Below are 16012 nucleotides of genomic sequence, written 5' to 3' on the forward strand. Positions count from 1 at the left end.
GCTCAACTTTGCAGCATGTTTGTTTCTATGCCAATAAGGAGAATCAGTCTGCGTGTTTTCCCTCACTGGCACTCGTGTTTTGGATTTGATAGGATGTTGGCTTTATGGATGCAAGGCTCCTGCAAGACCCTGGACTTGGCCATGGCGAGATTAGCAGATGTGATACAACAGAGATGTGAAACGGCTCTGCTCATTTGGGGCTAATTTGCTGGTCTACCTTTGGCTAAGCCATTTGGAAATCCTGGGCAAGACTGATTGAAAATAAAAGATAAGAGAAACAACTGAGTTGCCCCAAGCCTCCCAGCCAAGACTATGGTTGCTGAATGATTGAAAGCTGATTCCCAGATGGGTGAGTGAGCCCAGGCAGGGTGGAGGGCCACCTACAATTAGAACATCTCGCAGTACTGTGGTCTGCCACTGGATGTTCTGGGACTTTAAAACCCCCCAAAATCTAACTGAACCAGGAACTATCCTCTGGTAAATGATATTTTCTACAAGACTGCTTGTTTTATAAAAATTTTCAAATTGATTGTCCCTATCCTAATGTTCTTTACATTTTTATATGTTATATCAATTTGAGGTAAGAGCCTTGTAACATAGTCTCAGAAACACTTATTTGTGTTTTCTGTCTTTATTCTGGGGAAAAAAAAAAAGAATGACTGCAGTGGCTCACACCTGTAATCCCCAGCACTTTGGGAGGCTGAGGCAGGAGGATCGTTTGAGGCCAGGAGTTGGAGATCAGGGGCGGAAAATATAGCAAGACTCTGTCACAATAAAACAAAAAAATATACATTTGTCCTTAAAAGTCACTGAAGAATTTATAACATATTGTTTTGCCTATTTTATATAGTATTATTTAATATAATTTTAATATTATTTATCAATTATTTTATATTTATTATGAATCTTTATGTTGAGAAAAAGAAGAAAAGGAATTTGTCATAAAGGTATCAAAAAATGGATACTGTTTTAAGAAGACTATATTTTAAACAAAGTATAAAAAAAACAACAATAAGTTTAAAATTATTTTTCAAAATGATTACTTTAACAAACTGAAAACCTATTTTGACAAAAATGTTTTGGTTAAAAAATAACTTTAAAAAAACTAGAATTAGAAAAAAAAATTCTCCCTACTCTTCTCTCGACTCTTGTTTATTACTGGAACATGATAAAATTGGTAGCTAACATGCAATACACTCTTTTCGTTTACCAAGAATGAAAAAAGAGAAAAGAAAAATGAAAGGAAGAAATAATAAAGGAAGAAAGATGGAAAGATGAAAAAAAAAGAAAGAATAGAAGTTGAATTACATATAATAAAATTAAAACAAATGTCAGGCCTGCTGACAAAGCGTTCATATTTGCCAGCGGGAAAATCCTTATTTTCACAATGTTTTCAGCAGCATATATCAGCAGAATATACTAGAATTACTCAGATAAATTAAGTTTGAATCTATGGATTTGTGGGACAGTGCTCCCTGGAAAATATCACTTAAGCCACGTAATTCAGACAGCATAGAATAAAGATGTTTGTTTCAGAACCAAAACAGTCAACTTTTTTTTTTAATCATTTCTAGGCATTATATAGTTAAACTCTGGACAAAGTGGGTTCCAAGCAGATAAACAGAGACCTAAGCAGAGATGTTGGTTTTCTAATACACATTGATACTTTCTGTGCATGTACTTGTATCATAGGAATAATCATTAAAATTTTATGCTGGGGAAGATCTCCAATTTTAAGATAGATGATGATAGATAGATAGATAGATAGATAGATAGATAGATAGATAGATAGATAGATAATAGACAGATAGATAGATAGATAGATAGATAGATAGATAGATAGATAGATAGATACATGATAGATAGATAGGCAGGCAGGCAGACAGATAAATAGATGGGATGGATAGATTAGATGGATGGATAGGTAAGTAGGTAGATATACAGACAGACAGATAAGTGATTTCTACTGTGAGTTGTTTAACAAATGAGCTATGTAGAATTTTCCTAATATTTAAACATAAGTGGTTCGTAGATCTTTTTTATTTATATCTAACTCCATCACTTCACCATCATAGGAAATGGCATATTTGACCATTCTTTATGTTTTTGTTTGTTTGCTTGTTTTTTGTTTTTGAGATTTCCTTCAGAATTGGAGTTAATAGATTTAGCAAATAAAAATACAGATGCCTAAGTAAATTTGAATTTCAGTTAAGCAGCAAATAGTTTCTTAGTATAAGTATGCCTAATGCAATATTCTGGCATAGGTTTACTATAATTTGTTTGTTAGTTTAAATTCAAATTAAACTGAGTGTACTGTCTTTTAACTGGCAACTTTATTCAGAACAAACCAAAAAGTTGATTTTGAGAAATGTTCTATGAACGCTTAAGAAAAGCAAGTAATATTCTTATAGCTGAATTCAGGTTTGTAAACAGTTGACAAGACCATAGCTGCACATCGATGACAATAGTTAGCATAATTTATATCTTCTTGGTTTTTACCAATTTTTGTCAACTTTTCCCATTTCTTGAAGACACGGAATAAAGTCTTCATCACAATTGTTAAATTGCCAGGTTGCGATTCAACATTTTTGCTTAATTTAACTTATTAAGTTAGGACAGGCAAGTCCAGAATTGACGTCTTTTCTTGTTGAATCATTTTGTTAAATGTTTTTTCTCTTCCTTGTTTTGTCCATCAAATAAACAACCTCATCTTATTTTTTAATTACCCATGTTCAGAGTGTTAAATTATAAAACATTTTGTGGAGAGAATAGAAATATGCTGTTTATTAGTTGTTGATGTCGGACCTTGCAAGATATTATTCAAAATTTCCAACGAATCCGACCCCTTAGTTCATTCACCTCTTGCTGTTTCTTCAGGCTTTATGTCGCTACCTCTATTTCATTGTTCACATGTCAAAATTTCATGGTCTTTCTATTCAGTTAAGTGTCATGTCCACAATCAATGTACTTTTAAAATATGCATGTAGTTTAAATAAGATGTTGAGCTACTCATATAAAATATAGATGAGACATAATCCCAGATACATGCCTGACACACACAGCATTGCTTTATATCTTCATCATGGAGTTATAGGAATAAAGTGTTCATAACACGTTTACATTTCTTTTTAACATTTCAATAAATTTGGTTCTTGATCAAAATATACATCATCTCCCTTTTTGGTTCCACCTATTTTATGACTCTTGAAATTGTCAGAATGGTAAGCATGTGTTAAATGTTATATAAATCCTCCATTAAGAAACTAAAATTTCTGTAGATATTGTCTCTCTTCACTTTATAATTTGTTATGTGCCCTGTTTGACATTTTCATAACAAGTGTCCTACTCGTACACGTAATCAAGGTTGAGGGAACCTCTCATATCCCACACCATGCCCCCTTTATTTTTGTCTTCAAACTCATAAATCCTGACTACCTGGATACCCATTTTAGTTACATAAAGCTTCACAAAAGTGCTGTATTAACTAGAAATTAAAAAAAAAAAAACATGCAAGCTATTTCAAACTGAGGATTTTAATATAGAGGCTTGGTTTAAAAAATCAATGTTAGGTTGGGCACAGTGGATAAAGCCTGTAATCCCAGCATTTTGGAAGGCTGAGGCAGGAGGATCACTTGAGCCCAGGAGTTTGACACCAGCCTGGGCAACATAGCTAGACCTTGTCTCTACAAACAATAAAAAATTGGTTGGGCATGGTGATTTGTGCCTGTGGTCCCAGCTACTCAGGAGGCTGAGGTGGGAGGATCACTTGAACGTGGGAGGTCAAGTCTGCCATGATCCGTGATCACACCACTGCACTCTAGTCTGGGCAGCAGAGTGAGACTCTGTCTCAAAAAATAAAAATTAAAATTAATGTTAGAAATGCCAGGGAAGGCCAGGCATGGTGGCTTGCGTCTGTAATCCCAGCACTTTTGGATGCCCAGGTGGGTGGTTCACAAGGTCAGGAGTTCGAGAGCAGCCTGGCTAACATGGTGAAACCCCTTCTCTACTAAAAATTCAAGAATTAGCCAGGCATGGTGGCACACGCCTGTAGTCCCAGCTACTCAGGAGGCCGAGGAAGGAGAATTGCTTGAACCCGGGGGATGGAGGTTGCAGCGAGCCGAGTTCATGCAACTCCACTCCAGCCTGGGCAACAGAACAAGACTCCGTCTCGAAAAAAACAAAAACAAAAACAAAACAAAACAAAACAAAACAAAAACCAGGGAAAACAGAGAAGGGAAAGGTTGTGAGGAAGGTGATGATATCTTCCAAATAAGGACGCTTCTATCAACTCTGGGCTGAATTCCCAAGCTCTAGCCTTGCTTCTGCAGTGACAAAAATGTCTGATCAGTGGCTTCTGGAATTGCTAATGAGGTTTTGCAATGAGCAGGCAAGCATTTCCCTGGGCTGCTACAGAGTCCACAATTGCCTGCCCAAATTCACACTACAGCTACTACAAAAGACTGCCAACCACTGGCATGACAGCACTCCCATACAATAATCTCTCTTTCTCCTGTGTTCTGATTTCACTGTCATTGAGACAGATTCTGTCAGGAAGACAGCTCGCAAAGACTCCTGGGAAATGTAGTTTGCTGACTTCTAGCCCCAGTGTTACAGAAGGGAGTTTAGAAAAGTTGGCCTGAGCAGGGACAAAACCAGATAACTGAATAACCAGAACTGGCTATTAGATATATATCTCACGTACACATTAAAAGATGAAAGCATATGTGATGACAATTCATGCTAATTATGTCATTGGAGGATCCTTTGCCATTACACAAAAATAAACAATCACCAGTTCCTGATCCAATTTGGTTCAAGGAAGTCTTCATTTTCTTATACTTGGTTGTGCAAGTAGACTCCTGGAACATCACACTAAATTTTTACTTTCTTCCTGTAACCTTTGTTACTCTTCCAGGGATGATATAGTAGCAATACCTTTGCACTGAAAACTTGGCAATTTCCAAGAAACACATTCATTCAAAAACCGGCAGAATTATTTGCAAAACTAACACATAAGATACTATTGTGTTTTTATCAGTTATTCTTTATCTGTGTTCTATTGTTTTTCAGATTTTTGCATGAAGAGGGGCAGGAGGCTGAGAGGCATAGCCAGGCAAGCTAAGTTTCCACTTTGTTCTCTGAATATTAAAATAACATAATTACCATAGAAAGCCTTGAATGAGAATTTCATAACCTTATGGCTCTTTTCCTTAACTGCAGTTATCTTTTGCTTGTATTTTTTCATGTGACTTTAATGAGCAGAAACTTTGAATTCAAGAGGTAATTCTGAAAAAATCAATACACTTGGCCATCACTCAAAAATTTTAGTGACATAACCTGAATCTGATTATATCTTCATATTAATAAGTTTGCAATTTGTTTTCTAATTAAAAAAATAATAGAACAGAGGAATAAATTTATATTCCTAATAGGAAAGGTCATTGCATGTTTTAGCACAGGTGGAATTATAATTATTTTTGAAATTACTGTAACAATGAATTTTCTCCTCAAAAGTCTAATTACTTTTAAAAAATCAAAATAGCTAATTGGAGTTTCTGTCATGTGGTTTACATTTCCATTTACAGTGACAATTTAGACTTGTTCCTGATGATTTTGGAGAGCTCGGGGAGCAGCATTTCTGGTATGCCTTTTTCCTACATTTACATACATTTTCATTTAGTTTTCAACATATCCAATTGTCTTTTCATTTACGTTTTTATTATGCACTGTAGCAGGTACGTATTAGAATGAAGATGTTAAACTGTGCACACTACAAGAAAATTAAAAGAAAATATATATAAGTAATATTTCCCTTCAATGCATGGATGCAGCTGTTGAGAGCACTCTACTCATTGATCTTGACCATGGCTTTACTGAGTTGAATCCTTATCAATGTTCCCAGGAGGCATGATTCCTACACAGGACAATGTTCTAGTGATAGTATTCTCATTTCTGCAACTCTATGCTCTCATTACTTTACATATCAATTAAACTTTATTTGGACACTTGGCATTTTAGATTTGATCTTGTTGGATGCTCAAGATCATCTGACGAGATGATCTAATATTTTCATGTGTGTATCCCAATAAATAGTCCTGAGCTTTGTTCTGGGGTTCAATTAGGTACGTTGAAAACAGTTTGGTCCTTTTTGAGCAACGCATATTAGGTGGTACCAGAGCAGCACTTAATCTAGGCAAAACCATCCACTACTAAAGACGCCAGACCTTTCTGTGTACTTCACCCAATCCCACTGACTTGTGAACTGTTAAACTAGTCTAGCTGGCGAGGACTGCCAGTATTCTTAGATGTGGCTAAGCACAAACAACTCCCTGCTCTGACTCATTCAGGTGGTTCTTTCCTGCCCTCAGGGAGTTTCCCAATACACTCTTCTGCTGAATAGTAGGGGGGACCCATGGTAGGTCTCTAGATTTCCTTCTCTTCTTCAAGGCTCTCTCCTGCAAAGGATGTCCATATTTTTCTTTGATTCTGAATCTATGATTCTCTGATTCTGAGCTTCGTCTCCCCGATTCATGGAGTTTCACTGGGCTTCTTCTGAAATCCACTTTCATATGCAGTAGCCTGGAAACTCTCTCCTGATTGTGAGCTTGGGGCAACTGTGGGGTTCAACTCCTTGTTTTGCCCATCTTTCTTTTTTATTTTATTTTATTTTATTTTATTTTTTTATTATTATTATACTTTAAGTTTTAGGGTACGTGTGCACAACGTGCAGGTTTGTTACATATGTATACATGTGCCATGTTGGTGTGCTGCACCCATTAACTCGTTCTTTAGCACTAGGTATATCTCCTAATGCTATCCCTCCCCCCTACCCCCACCCCACAACAGTCCCCAGTGTGTGATGTTCCCCTTCCTGTGTCCATGTTTTGCCCATCTTTCATTGCCTTTTGCTCACTGTCTTGACAACTGTTGGGGTTTTTTTTTATATTTTAAACATATGTATATTTATATATATATAAAATAGGTTATTAAACTTTTATTCCAAACCAATCTATTGGGTTTTCCTGTTACTTCTGTCTAGCATGTTCATACCGTAGAAGTAGAATTTGTAAGATACAAGTGGAAAGTAATTTTTGTCATTGCCTTAATCATGTGTTTCAATTCTTCTTCAGCCTTATTCAACAGGCAGTTTTCTCAGGTAATGAAATCTCCTCCCCTTATTGAAATCTCAAGGGCTGTTAATCTGATTTCAAAATAACACAAATGTCCAGGTTCACATAATATTCAACTCTGGGAGTCTATTCATTTTTATGCTAAAGTGGTCATAAAATATAATTTGCAGTATTTGTTTTTAATAGAGGAAGATTCCCCACAGAAGCAAAAGTACCTCCATCCATATAAGTTGTAACATATCTGGTGTCTACCCTTAATCTCTACGCTTCTACCCTTCTTTAAGTATTCTTCACCATGACAATCATTTCTTTTTTCTTCATTTGGTTAATTTTCTTATGCATTGTAATTCTCTTATTAGAGTAAATTGGGAGAAAAGTGCTGTATATTTCTACCGTTTATACTTTGAGTAGAATAAGGGCTGACATCATACCGTGAGTCTTTAAAATATACTTGAGTGAATTGTGTTGGAATGTCTGTGTTGTTCACTAATCAAGATTTAGCCGCACATGTATATACGAGGAGAACACTAGCTACCATGTGAATTTTAAACGGATAATGAGCTCATATAAATTATGCAATTTTATTTTAGTGCACAAAATTATCCTTTATTTTGATTTGATTTAAGATAAATATAGCAAAATTCTATGAAGATGGGGAGACATTTCCCAATTATTTTAGTTAGAAATATTATCATAGCATGATGTTGATTACTAAGTAAAGCATGAGTAAATTCCATTTTACCTGTCTTAAGTATAGCTATGATGAATTAGTAAGTGTTGACACCACTTCTGATAAGTCTATTATAATGTCTGCAATGGAAACATAGTATTTCCCAACATCATATGACTAACTCTAGTCATAATCAAATCAAAACTCTACTCGCAATCGCTCAAATTATTTGATCAATATATCAAAATATCCCACTGATATAACAGTCTTTATTCATGATTGCAAAACAGTCTCACTATTAATTAAAGAGAAGCAATTGACATAATTGATTTATATTTAAAAATCAGAATGATTTATAGCTTGCTCTGAAATTTATATTTGGAGCAGAAATACATTTAACTCCAATTTTAATTTGTGCATTCAAAGTAGTAGAAATAATACTTTTTTTGAAATACATGAGACTAACATGATTCTAGCTCCCAGCGAAATCCTAAATACTACTTATATTTGTGAAGTCGATACAGAATTTTAATAATTTTGATTTTTCTCTAGCAATAATAAATATATCTGGTTGTGATATTTTAATATGTGATTTAGAGACTTTACAAATTAAATACCTATTGTGTTCAGTATAAATACACTTACAACATGCTTCATAGAAATGCATTGTATGCCAATGCTTTATAAATCCCCTTTGCATGGTAATAGGTTTATGACTGGAGCACCTTCTGTCATTTCACTCCAAGCACCTTTAAATAGAACAGCAAATCAGTGAGTTTAATGTTGTGCACCAAAAATAAAGTTCTAAGCTCCCCAACTAATTGAATGGTCCCTGCTCTTGGCCAAGGGCATTCCGAATAAACCTAAAAAATATAGTTCAGACCATGATGGGAATGGGTGGTTGGACATACCTCATTACACACTTCTCCTTTTGGAATTCAGGCACAGCTGGCCAGCATTCACATTAAAACAGAGACCTTAAGACTGATTAAACAGACTCTTTGTAACTTGTAATGTGACTCTGGTCTCTATCCCCAATTTCTAAGCTTCTACTATGCTCCACCATGTGTGATGGTTAATATTGAGTGTCAACTTGATTAGATTGAAGGATGCAAAGTATTATTCCTGGGTGTGTCTGTGAAGGTGTTGTCAAAGGAGATGAACATTTGAGTCAGTGGCCTGGGAAAGGCAGACCCACCCTCAATCTGGTGGGCACCATCTCATCAGGTGCCAGTGTGGCTAGAATAAAAGCAGGCAGAAGAACGTGGAAGGACTAGGCTGGCTGAGTCTTTTGGCCTCCATCTTTCCCCTGTGCTGGATGCTTCCTGACCTTGAACATTGGACTCCAATTTCTTCAGCTTTTGGACTCTTGGACCTACACCAGTGCTTTAGCAGGGTCATCGACCACAGACTGAAGGCTGTACTGTTGGCTTCTGTACTTTTGAGTTTTTGGGACTCGGACTGGCTTCCTTGCTCCTCAGCTTGCAGATGACCTATTGTGGGACTTCACCTTGTGATCGTGTGAGTCAATACTTCTTAATAAGCTCTCTTTCGTGTATATATCTATCGTATTAGTCCTGTCCCTTTAGAAAACCCTGACTAATACACCATAGCAATCATTTTTTTCTTCACTTGGCTAATTTACAGGTGATGTAGTAAGATACATCACATGACAGATAGTGGACACTAAAGTAAAAGTATTTTACCCCAAAATATTTTTTATGTATTTTAAAATGGCCCTGCAAAGCTGTCTCTTGTGGAGAAAATTTACATTCTGTGGAGAATGCCTTTCCCTTTCCAGGTGTCTTCCTGATCCAGGAGAGTTTAACTAAGTGTATGCCACCTTTCAAAGTCCGATAAGAAATAGTTACCATCTATTCTCTCTGAAGCCTGCTACCAGGAGGCTTCATCTGCATAATAAGAACCTTGATCTCCACAACTCCTTATCTTAACCCAGACACTCCTTTCTATTGATTCCAGGTCTTTAGATAATAAATCTTTCAACCAATTGAGAATCAGAAAATTTTGAAATCTCCCTATGATGTGGAGACCTCCCATCACCAATTTGAGATGAAACCAATATACATCTTACAGGTATGGATTGATGTCTGTCTGTAACTTCTATCCCCTTAAAATGTATGGAATTAAGCTGTAACCCAACCACCCTGGGCACATGTGCTCAGGACCTCCTGAGGCTCTGACCTGGGCATGTCCTTTACTTTGGCAAAATAAATTCCTAAATTGATTGGGACTTGTCTCAGGTACTTTTCGGTTTTACAATGTGAAGGTGATACTGCCTTGTGTGGCTTACTAAGAGTACCTTGCTGAGGCAATATGTACATTTTTAAAAAGTTAGCAGATCTGCAAATCACTATGTCCTTACGAGAGATTACATGTTAGAAACTGCAAATTATGTTCAATTCAGCTTTTCATAAAAAATACCATTAACTGATAGCAGGGGGCATCTTTTACAGCTATCGGGTGTAGGTGCCAAATCTCTCCTGGCAGTTTCCAATTTTCAGGGAATTTACAGCTGTTCAGCTGACATCCTCTGCAGTTCATTAAAGTCTCATGATGTCTGGTTTACCTCATTCTAATGTCTCTGCTATGCAGAATTTATTAAGAAGAAATATAACACAGATTTTTTTTTTTTTTTTTTTTTTTTGGAGAAAGGGTCTCACTCTGCTGCCCAGGCTGGAGTGCGGTGGTGCAATCATGGCTCAGTGTAGCCTCGACATCCTGGGATCAAGCAATCCTCCAGCCTCAGCCTCTCAAGTAGGCATGTACCGCCACACCCAGCTAATTTTAATATTTTTTGTAGAGATGGGGTTTTGCCATGTTGCCCAGACTGGTCTCAAACTCCTGGGCTCAAGTAATCTGCCGGCCTCAGCCTCCTAAAGTGTTGGGATTACAGGGATGAGCCACCATACCCAGCCAAACAGTATTTTAAAATAGAACCCCTTCAACATATTCATCAATGTCTGAATCATGGTATGTAGTGTTTTTTTATTCTATCCTTTGGATAAACTTTGATGTTCTTGAATAAACTCTGATGTCCTACTCACTTCTTCTACTTCCTATTTCAAACCACAGGCTTGGGCATTTATAAGTATTTAAATATGTCTAAGTTTTAAAAATACGGATCAACAAAATACCAACTCTTGAAACAAACGGTTAAATGTTTACAAGAAATATAAAATGAATAACTATACTATGGCTTATATGAAATTATCTTAGTGCTGTAACATGAAGTTTGATTCTAAAAACACTAATTTTTCTGGAACAAACACAAACTCTAAAAAAAAGAGGGTTTATTTTTTGCCTAAGATTAAGAGTTATATTTGGTTCTTTCCCTGGTTTTGAACAGAAGCCAATTTTGAAGTAAGCGAAAGGAAAAGGTAAGTAGGTTTGTAATACAACAAACATGCATATGAACAAATAAAAAGGAAAACTGTTCCTAGTTATTTTACATCTATAGAATATGTGTGAAAGAAGTTTGTATGAAAGATTATAAAATTATTAAATGCAAATATGATATATTTATTAAGCTTAAATTATCATACTAGAATATAACAATAAAAGACCGTCAAGGTCTTCACTGCTTACAAATTAAGCAACATTTTCCTAAATATTCATTGGATCAAAGTGCTTACAATAAACTCCTCTGAGTGTTAGAATACAAAGTTGCATAATTCACACTGAATGCTAAAATACACGGTCACATCTACACTAAAATGAGATTATGCATATGCAAATGTTATGAACGATATTTTATTAAAGACAATTTTTGAACATGAGGAATGATATAGTCACTTTAAAAATTATAAAATAAGGTTGTGGGAAAGCAGTATTGGTTCAGGTAACAATGACAAAACATTGTACAGAAAATAAGAAATAGTAGCAATTATGTATAAGTACAAATGCTGGTTCTTCGAAAAAAAATCAGGGAAATCACATCAATACAGACTCAGGAATAAGGAGAAAGTGGACAAAGTAGTAAGGTGTTAGAAATAAAAAGAAAAAAGAAGCACAAATAAAGAAGAGTTTTGACACAATGTAGAAGGAGGATTATAACTACCAATTAACACAAACGATTTTCAATATTTTTTATTGATTTTCATTGCAAAGTGTTTCACAACTAGAGTATCAAAGCTAAATTATACATGATTCCTTTACTCTACAAGTACACAAAACCAGATAATATTAATTCTATTTAAAGGAGAGTTCCCTGATCCATTTAATTAAATCATTATAAATTACTACCAAACCCCAATCAAGATAACAATAAAAGAACTACAGATCAGTAACTAATATATATTCCTGAATACATTTTAATAAATCACCATCAACAATATGCTGATAAAGCAATACGATATTGTCCAAATAGAGGGTATTACTGGAAATCATGTGCTTCATTTAAATACACGATTCTATCAACACAATTGTGAAGAACAACACATGACTATCATGTTAGAAACTGGCTGGGCACAGTGGCTCATACCTGTAATCTGAATACTTTGGCGGTTCGAGGTAGACCAATCACTTAAGCCCAGGAGTTTGAGACAAGCCTGGACAATGTAGGGAAATTCTGTCTCTGCCCAAAATACAAAAAATTAGCTGGGCATGGTGGCATGCACCTGTAGTACCAAGTAGTCCTATAGTCCCAGTAGCTGGCTTAGCTACTCTGGAGGAGAGGCAAGAGGATCACTGGCATCCATCAGGTCGAAGCTGCAGTGAGCCATGATTGTGCCAATACACTCCAGCCTGGGTGACAGAGCCACATTCTGTCAAAAAAAAAAAAAAAAAAAAAAAAAAAAACACTAATAAAGCAACTGATAAAATTAAAGATGAAATGTTAAAACTCTGTAAAGTTGAAAACCCTCCCAGGTTCAAGCGATTCTCCTGCCTCAGCCTCCTGCATAGCTGGGATTACAGGCATGCACCAGCACACCTGGCTAATTTTTGTATTTTTAGTGGAGACGGGGTTTCACAATGCTGGCCAGGCTTGTCTTGAACTCCTATCCCCCTTGATCCACCCATCTTGGCCTCTCAAAGTTCTGGGATTACAGGCATGTGCCATCATGCCAGGCCACTCAGGCCAGGTCTTTATGGGATGGGAATGAATTATTCAACCAGATCCAGTTAGAGGTGTGGCCAGAGAAAAGCTAATTCATCTATGCACCTGTAACATTCAGGCTTCTCATAAACTGGCCAATTTATCTGTGTCTACATATTATGTTCCTTAAAAAATTGTTTCTCTTTTAGGTACAAATAGAGTTACTGAAGCTCAATAATTTGGATTCATGGCAATTATAAAATGTCGTGTGTTTAGGCACAGAGCTTCTTTCACATTCGACCAATGGCAAAACTAAGCACAATTTGGAATGCTTGTTGAACACAAAAGGCTTAATGAAGTATCCAAGCCATTTACTTCCTTAAAGGGACTCCCTTTCCAGGATTCCAAAATATCAGATGTAGTTGCAACCCAGTGTGGCACTCTTCAATATTTAAATTGGACTAATGAGTATACACATTTAACTTTTCTGTACATGCACATGAATGAAAGCCTATCTAGATTTTTATGGTATGTGGTCGAAAGAGATAAATTTATTACACAGTAATAGATGTTGCATTACTTTTGAAATCTTTGCTTACAAAAACAAGCAATAGGGAAAACACTCCTTATTCAATAAGTGGTGCTGGCATAACTGGCTAGCCATATGCAGAAGATTGAAGCTGGACCCCTTCGTTACACCGTACACAAAAATCAACTCAAGATGGATTAAACACTTAAATGTAAAACCCAAAACTACAAAAACCCTGGAAGAAACAACAGACACTGGGATCTACCTGAAGGGGGTGGGTAGGAGGAGGGAGAGGAGCAGAAAAGATAACTATTGGGTACTGAGTTTAATACCCGGGTGATGTAATAATCTGTACAACAAACCCCCATGACATGTGTATATCTATGTAACAAACCTTCACGTATACCCCCAAACCTAAAATAAAATTTTTTTAAAGAGATTTTGAATGTATCCCTGGATCCTTCCATACAGAACATCTGCCAATGGTTGTGCATGTAACTAACATGACACACCTTATTGTTAAATGTTTTAGAATTTCAATATAATGGAAATAAAGAGAAACTCTCTAAATTGTAAAATGGGTGGGTATTTATTTTTTGTTAATGAGGTCACATGGTTATCAGAGGAAAGATTCTAAGAATGTGATTTAACTGTATCATAGACCCGATGAGAACTCCAAAATTGTTTTTGGTTTCTTAAGCTTCAGATAAGAAACAACTGAAGGCAGCACAGATGCATAAAGATGTATATTATTGGCTTAGAGTTTTCCTGAACAAGCCAGTTTGTGATTTTCTTCAGTAGTGCAGTCAGATATTCAATCACCATCATCTTAAGGAAAAAATGGTTGGCGTCTTTGTGCTTCATTTTGGATGATGAATTAAATCACCTTGTCATGAACTCCTGGGTCTTCATCTGTTATTACCAGTGTTTACAGGAAATGAGCGTTTGAACCTCATGTCTTTTCTGGGTTAAGGGCCATTTTGTTTGAGAGAATTACTGAAAGAAAGAGAAGCAGGACATCCACATAGAGAACACTTAAATCCATCAATGTCCTCTCTAAGTCTCTTGAGTCATTGTGAGGGTTCCTAGATCTGCTCAAGATGCCTCATGAAAAGATCCTTTATGCTGGCCATGAGAAAAGGGATGAGACATGCAAGTGTAAAAACTCGAATGTTCCTAATCTGTGAATGCTATAGCCTCCTACTTCCAGGTAAGACAAAGGCTCTTCGACTTTTGCCAGCCATTCATCAGAATCACCTGGAAAACTCATGGGAAAACCCATTCCTGGATCCCATGTCTAGCTTATCCATGAGATACAAGGACTTATGAAAATGTTTCGATGTTTTCTAAAATCAGAGGAAAATTTTTTTAATTTAAAATTTAAAAAAATCAGAGAATAAAATTGAACTTTTAAGTCAAAGAAATGTTTGAATATAGGATAGTAACTTATCTTTTTACCAACTCAGTCATAAAATATAGTATAAGTTTTCTTTTTACAATGGAGGAAGAAGCCCATATTTTCCTCCCACTGAGAGAAAAACAAGCAAACAACAAAACAACAAAAAATCTCACTCACCACAATGTTGGTTTTCATGAGTCAACATAGTAATCTCCATGCTATGGTGTCATGAAGCCCAAATTCTGCTCACCTCTGCTCATGCATTGCCAACTTGAAATTTTTCAATGTTGCTATCTCTATCTCTGATTTTCCAGACGTGACGGCCACAAGCAGCGTGCTTGGATGTCTTCAGCACTCAGCATTAGCAGATCTAAGCGTCAGACAAAAGAAAACGTACTCACAGAAATCCAGAAATGCTGTTTCAGTATATTCCAGTCAAGAAATAATCAACTTTGTATGAATAAATCTTATTTAGTGTAATATCAGTAAGGCAACAGCATACATTACCAAGCCTCCAGGACGTTAATTAGCACGTAAAATGCTGATAAATCGTATGTGTTGATTTTGAAGCAAGCCAAGGTTGATTTGTGAAAGAAGCAGTTAAATTTCAAAACAATCTTGAAATCTGAAATCCTAAAGTTTTATTGAATTTTCATATACCGTATATAAAGGCATACCTTTCTCTAGTTAACTATTATTTTTAAACATTAACAGGCACATTCAGCACTTTGCAGCCTGAATTAACAGAGTAACACCACAGACACATCAGAATGAAACAATAAAAACGACTACGATTGTTGCTAAATTATCTGTGTGTTTAGTATTCATTTTAGAATGTGAAGTATTTTTCAAAAGAAAATACTTCAGCAATATGAGGACAATTTAATGCTGATATTAAAATTATACAGTTTTTAAAATGTCAGCATAATAAAGTTGGTAACATAAATAATTCCTGCATGCATTGCTAAAGATTATCATTATTAAATTAAAACCTTATTGCTGTAAATTAAAACCAGCTCAGAATCCACTGATTTAGAGACTCTATAAAATATCATGAGACACTTAAATCTCATCTGAAAGCTCCCATTATAATCACAAATTACAATGAATACTGAAACCTGGTTTTCTAATTTATCAACTCATAACTTGTTTCTTGCCTTCCTGTTAAATTATCCTGCTTGATTCCAATGGAAACTTAAATTAATAGCTTTTAAATCTATATTTAAGA

The 16012-nt window shown here is 35.8% G+C and overlaps 1 annotated feature.

Annotated features, from left to right (window-relative positions):
• Positions 14437 to 15636: an enhancer, noted in NCBI's record as "BRD4-independent group 4 enhancer chrX:4872887-4874086 (GRCh37/hg19 assembly coordinates)". NCBI's record gives its function as "activates an origin of replication core promoter dependent on BRD2, P300/CBP, MED14 and CDK7 cofactors, and independent of BRD4, by STARR-seq in HCT116 cells {active_cell/tissue: HCT116}" and the evidence as "EXISTENCE:reporter gene assay evidence [ECO:0000049][PMID:35650434]".

Source organism: Homo sapiens, chromosome X, assembly GCF_000001405.40.
Source record: "Homo sapiens chromosome X, GRCh38.p14 Primary Assembly".
In the NCBI taxonomy this organism is placed as follows: Eukaryota; Metazoa; Chordata; class Mammalia; order Primates; family Hominidae; genus Homo; species Homo sapiens.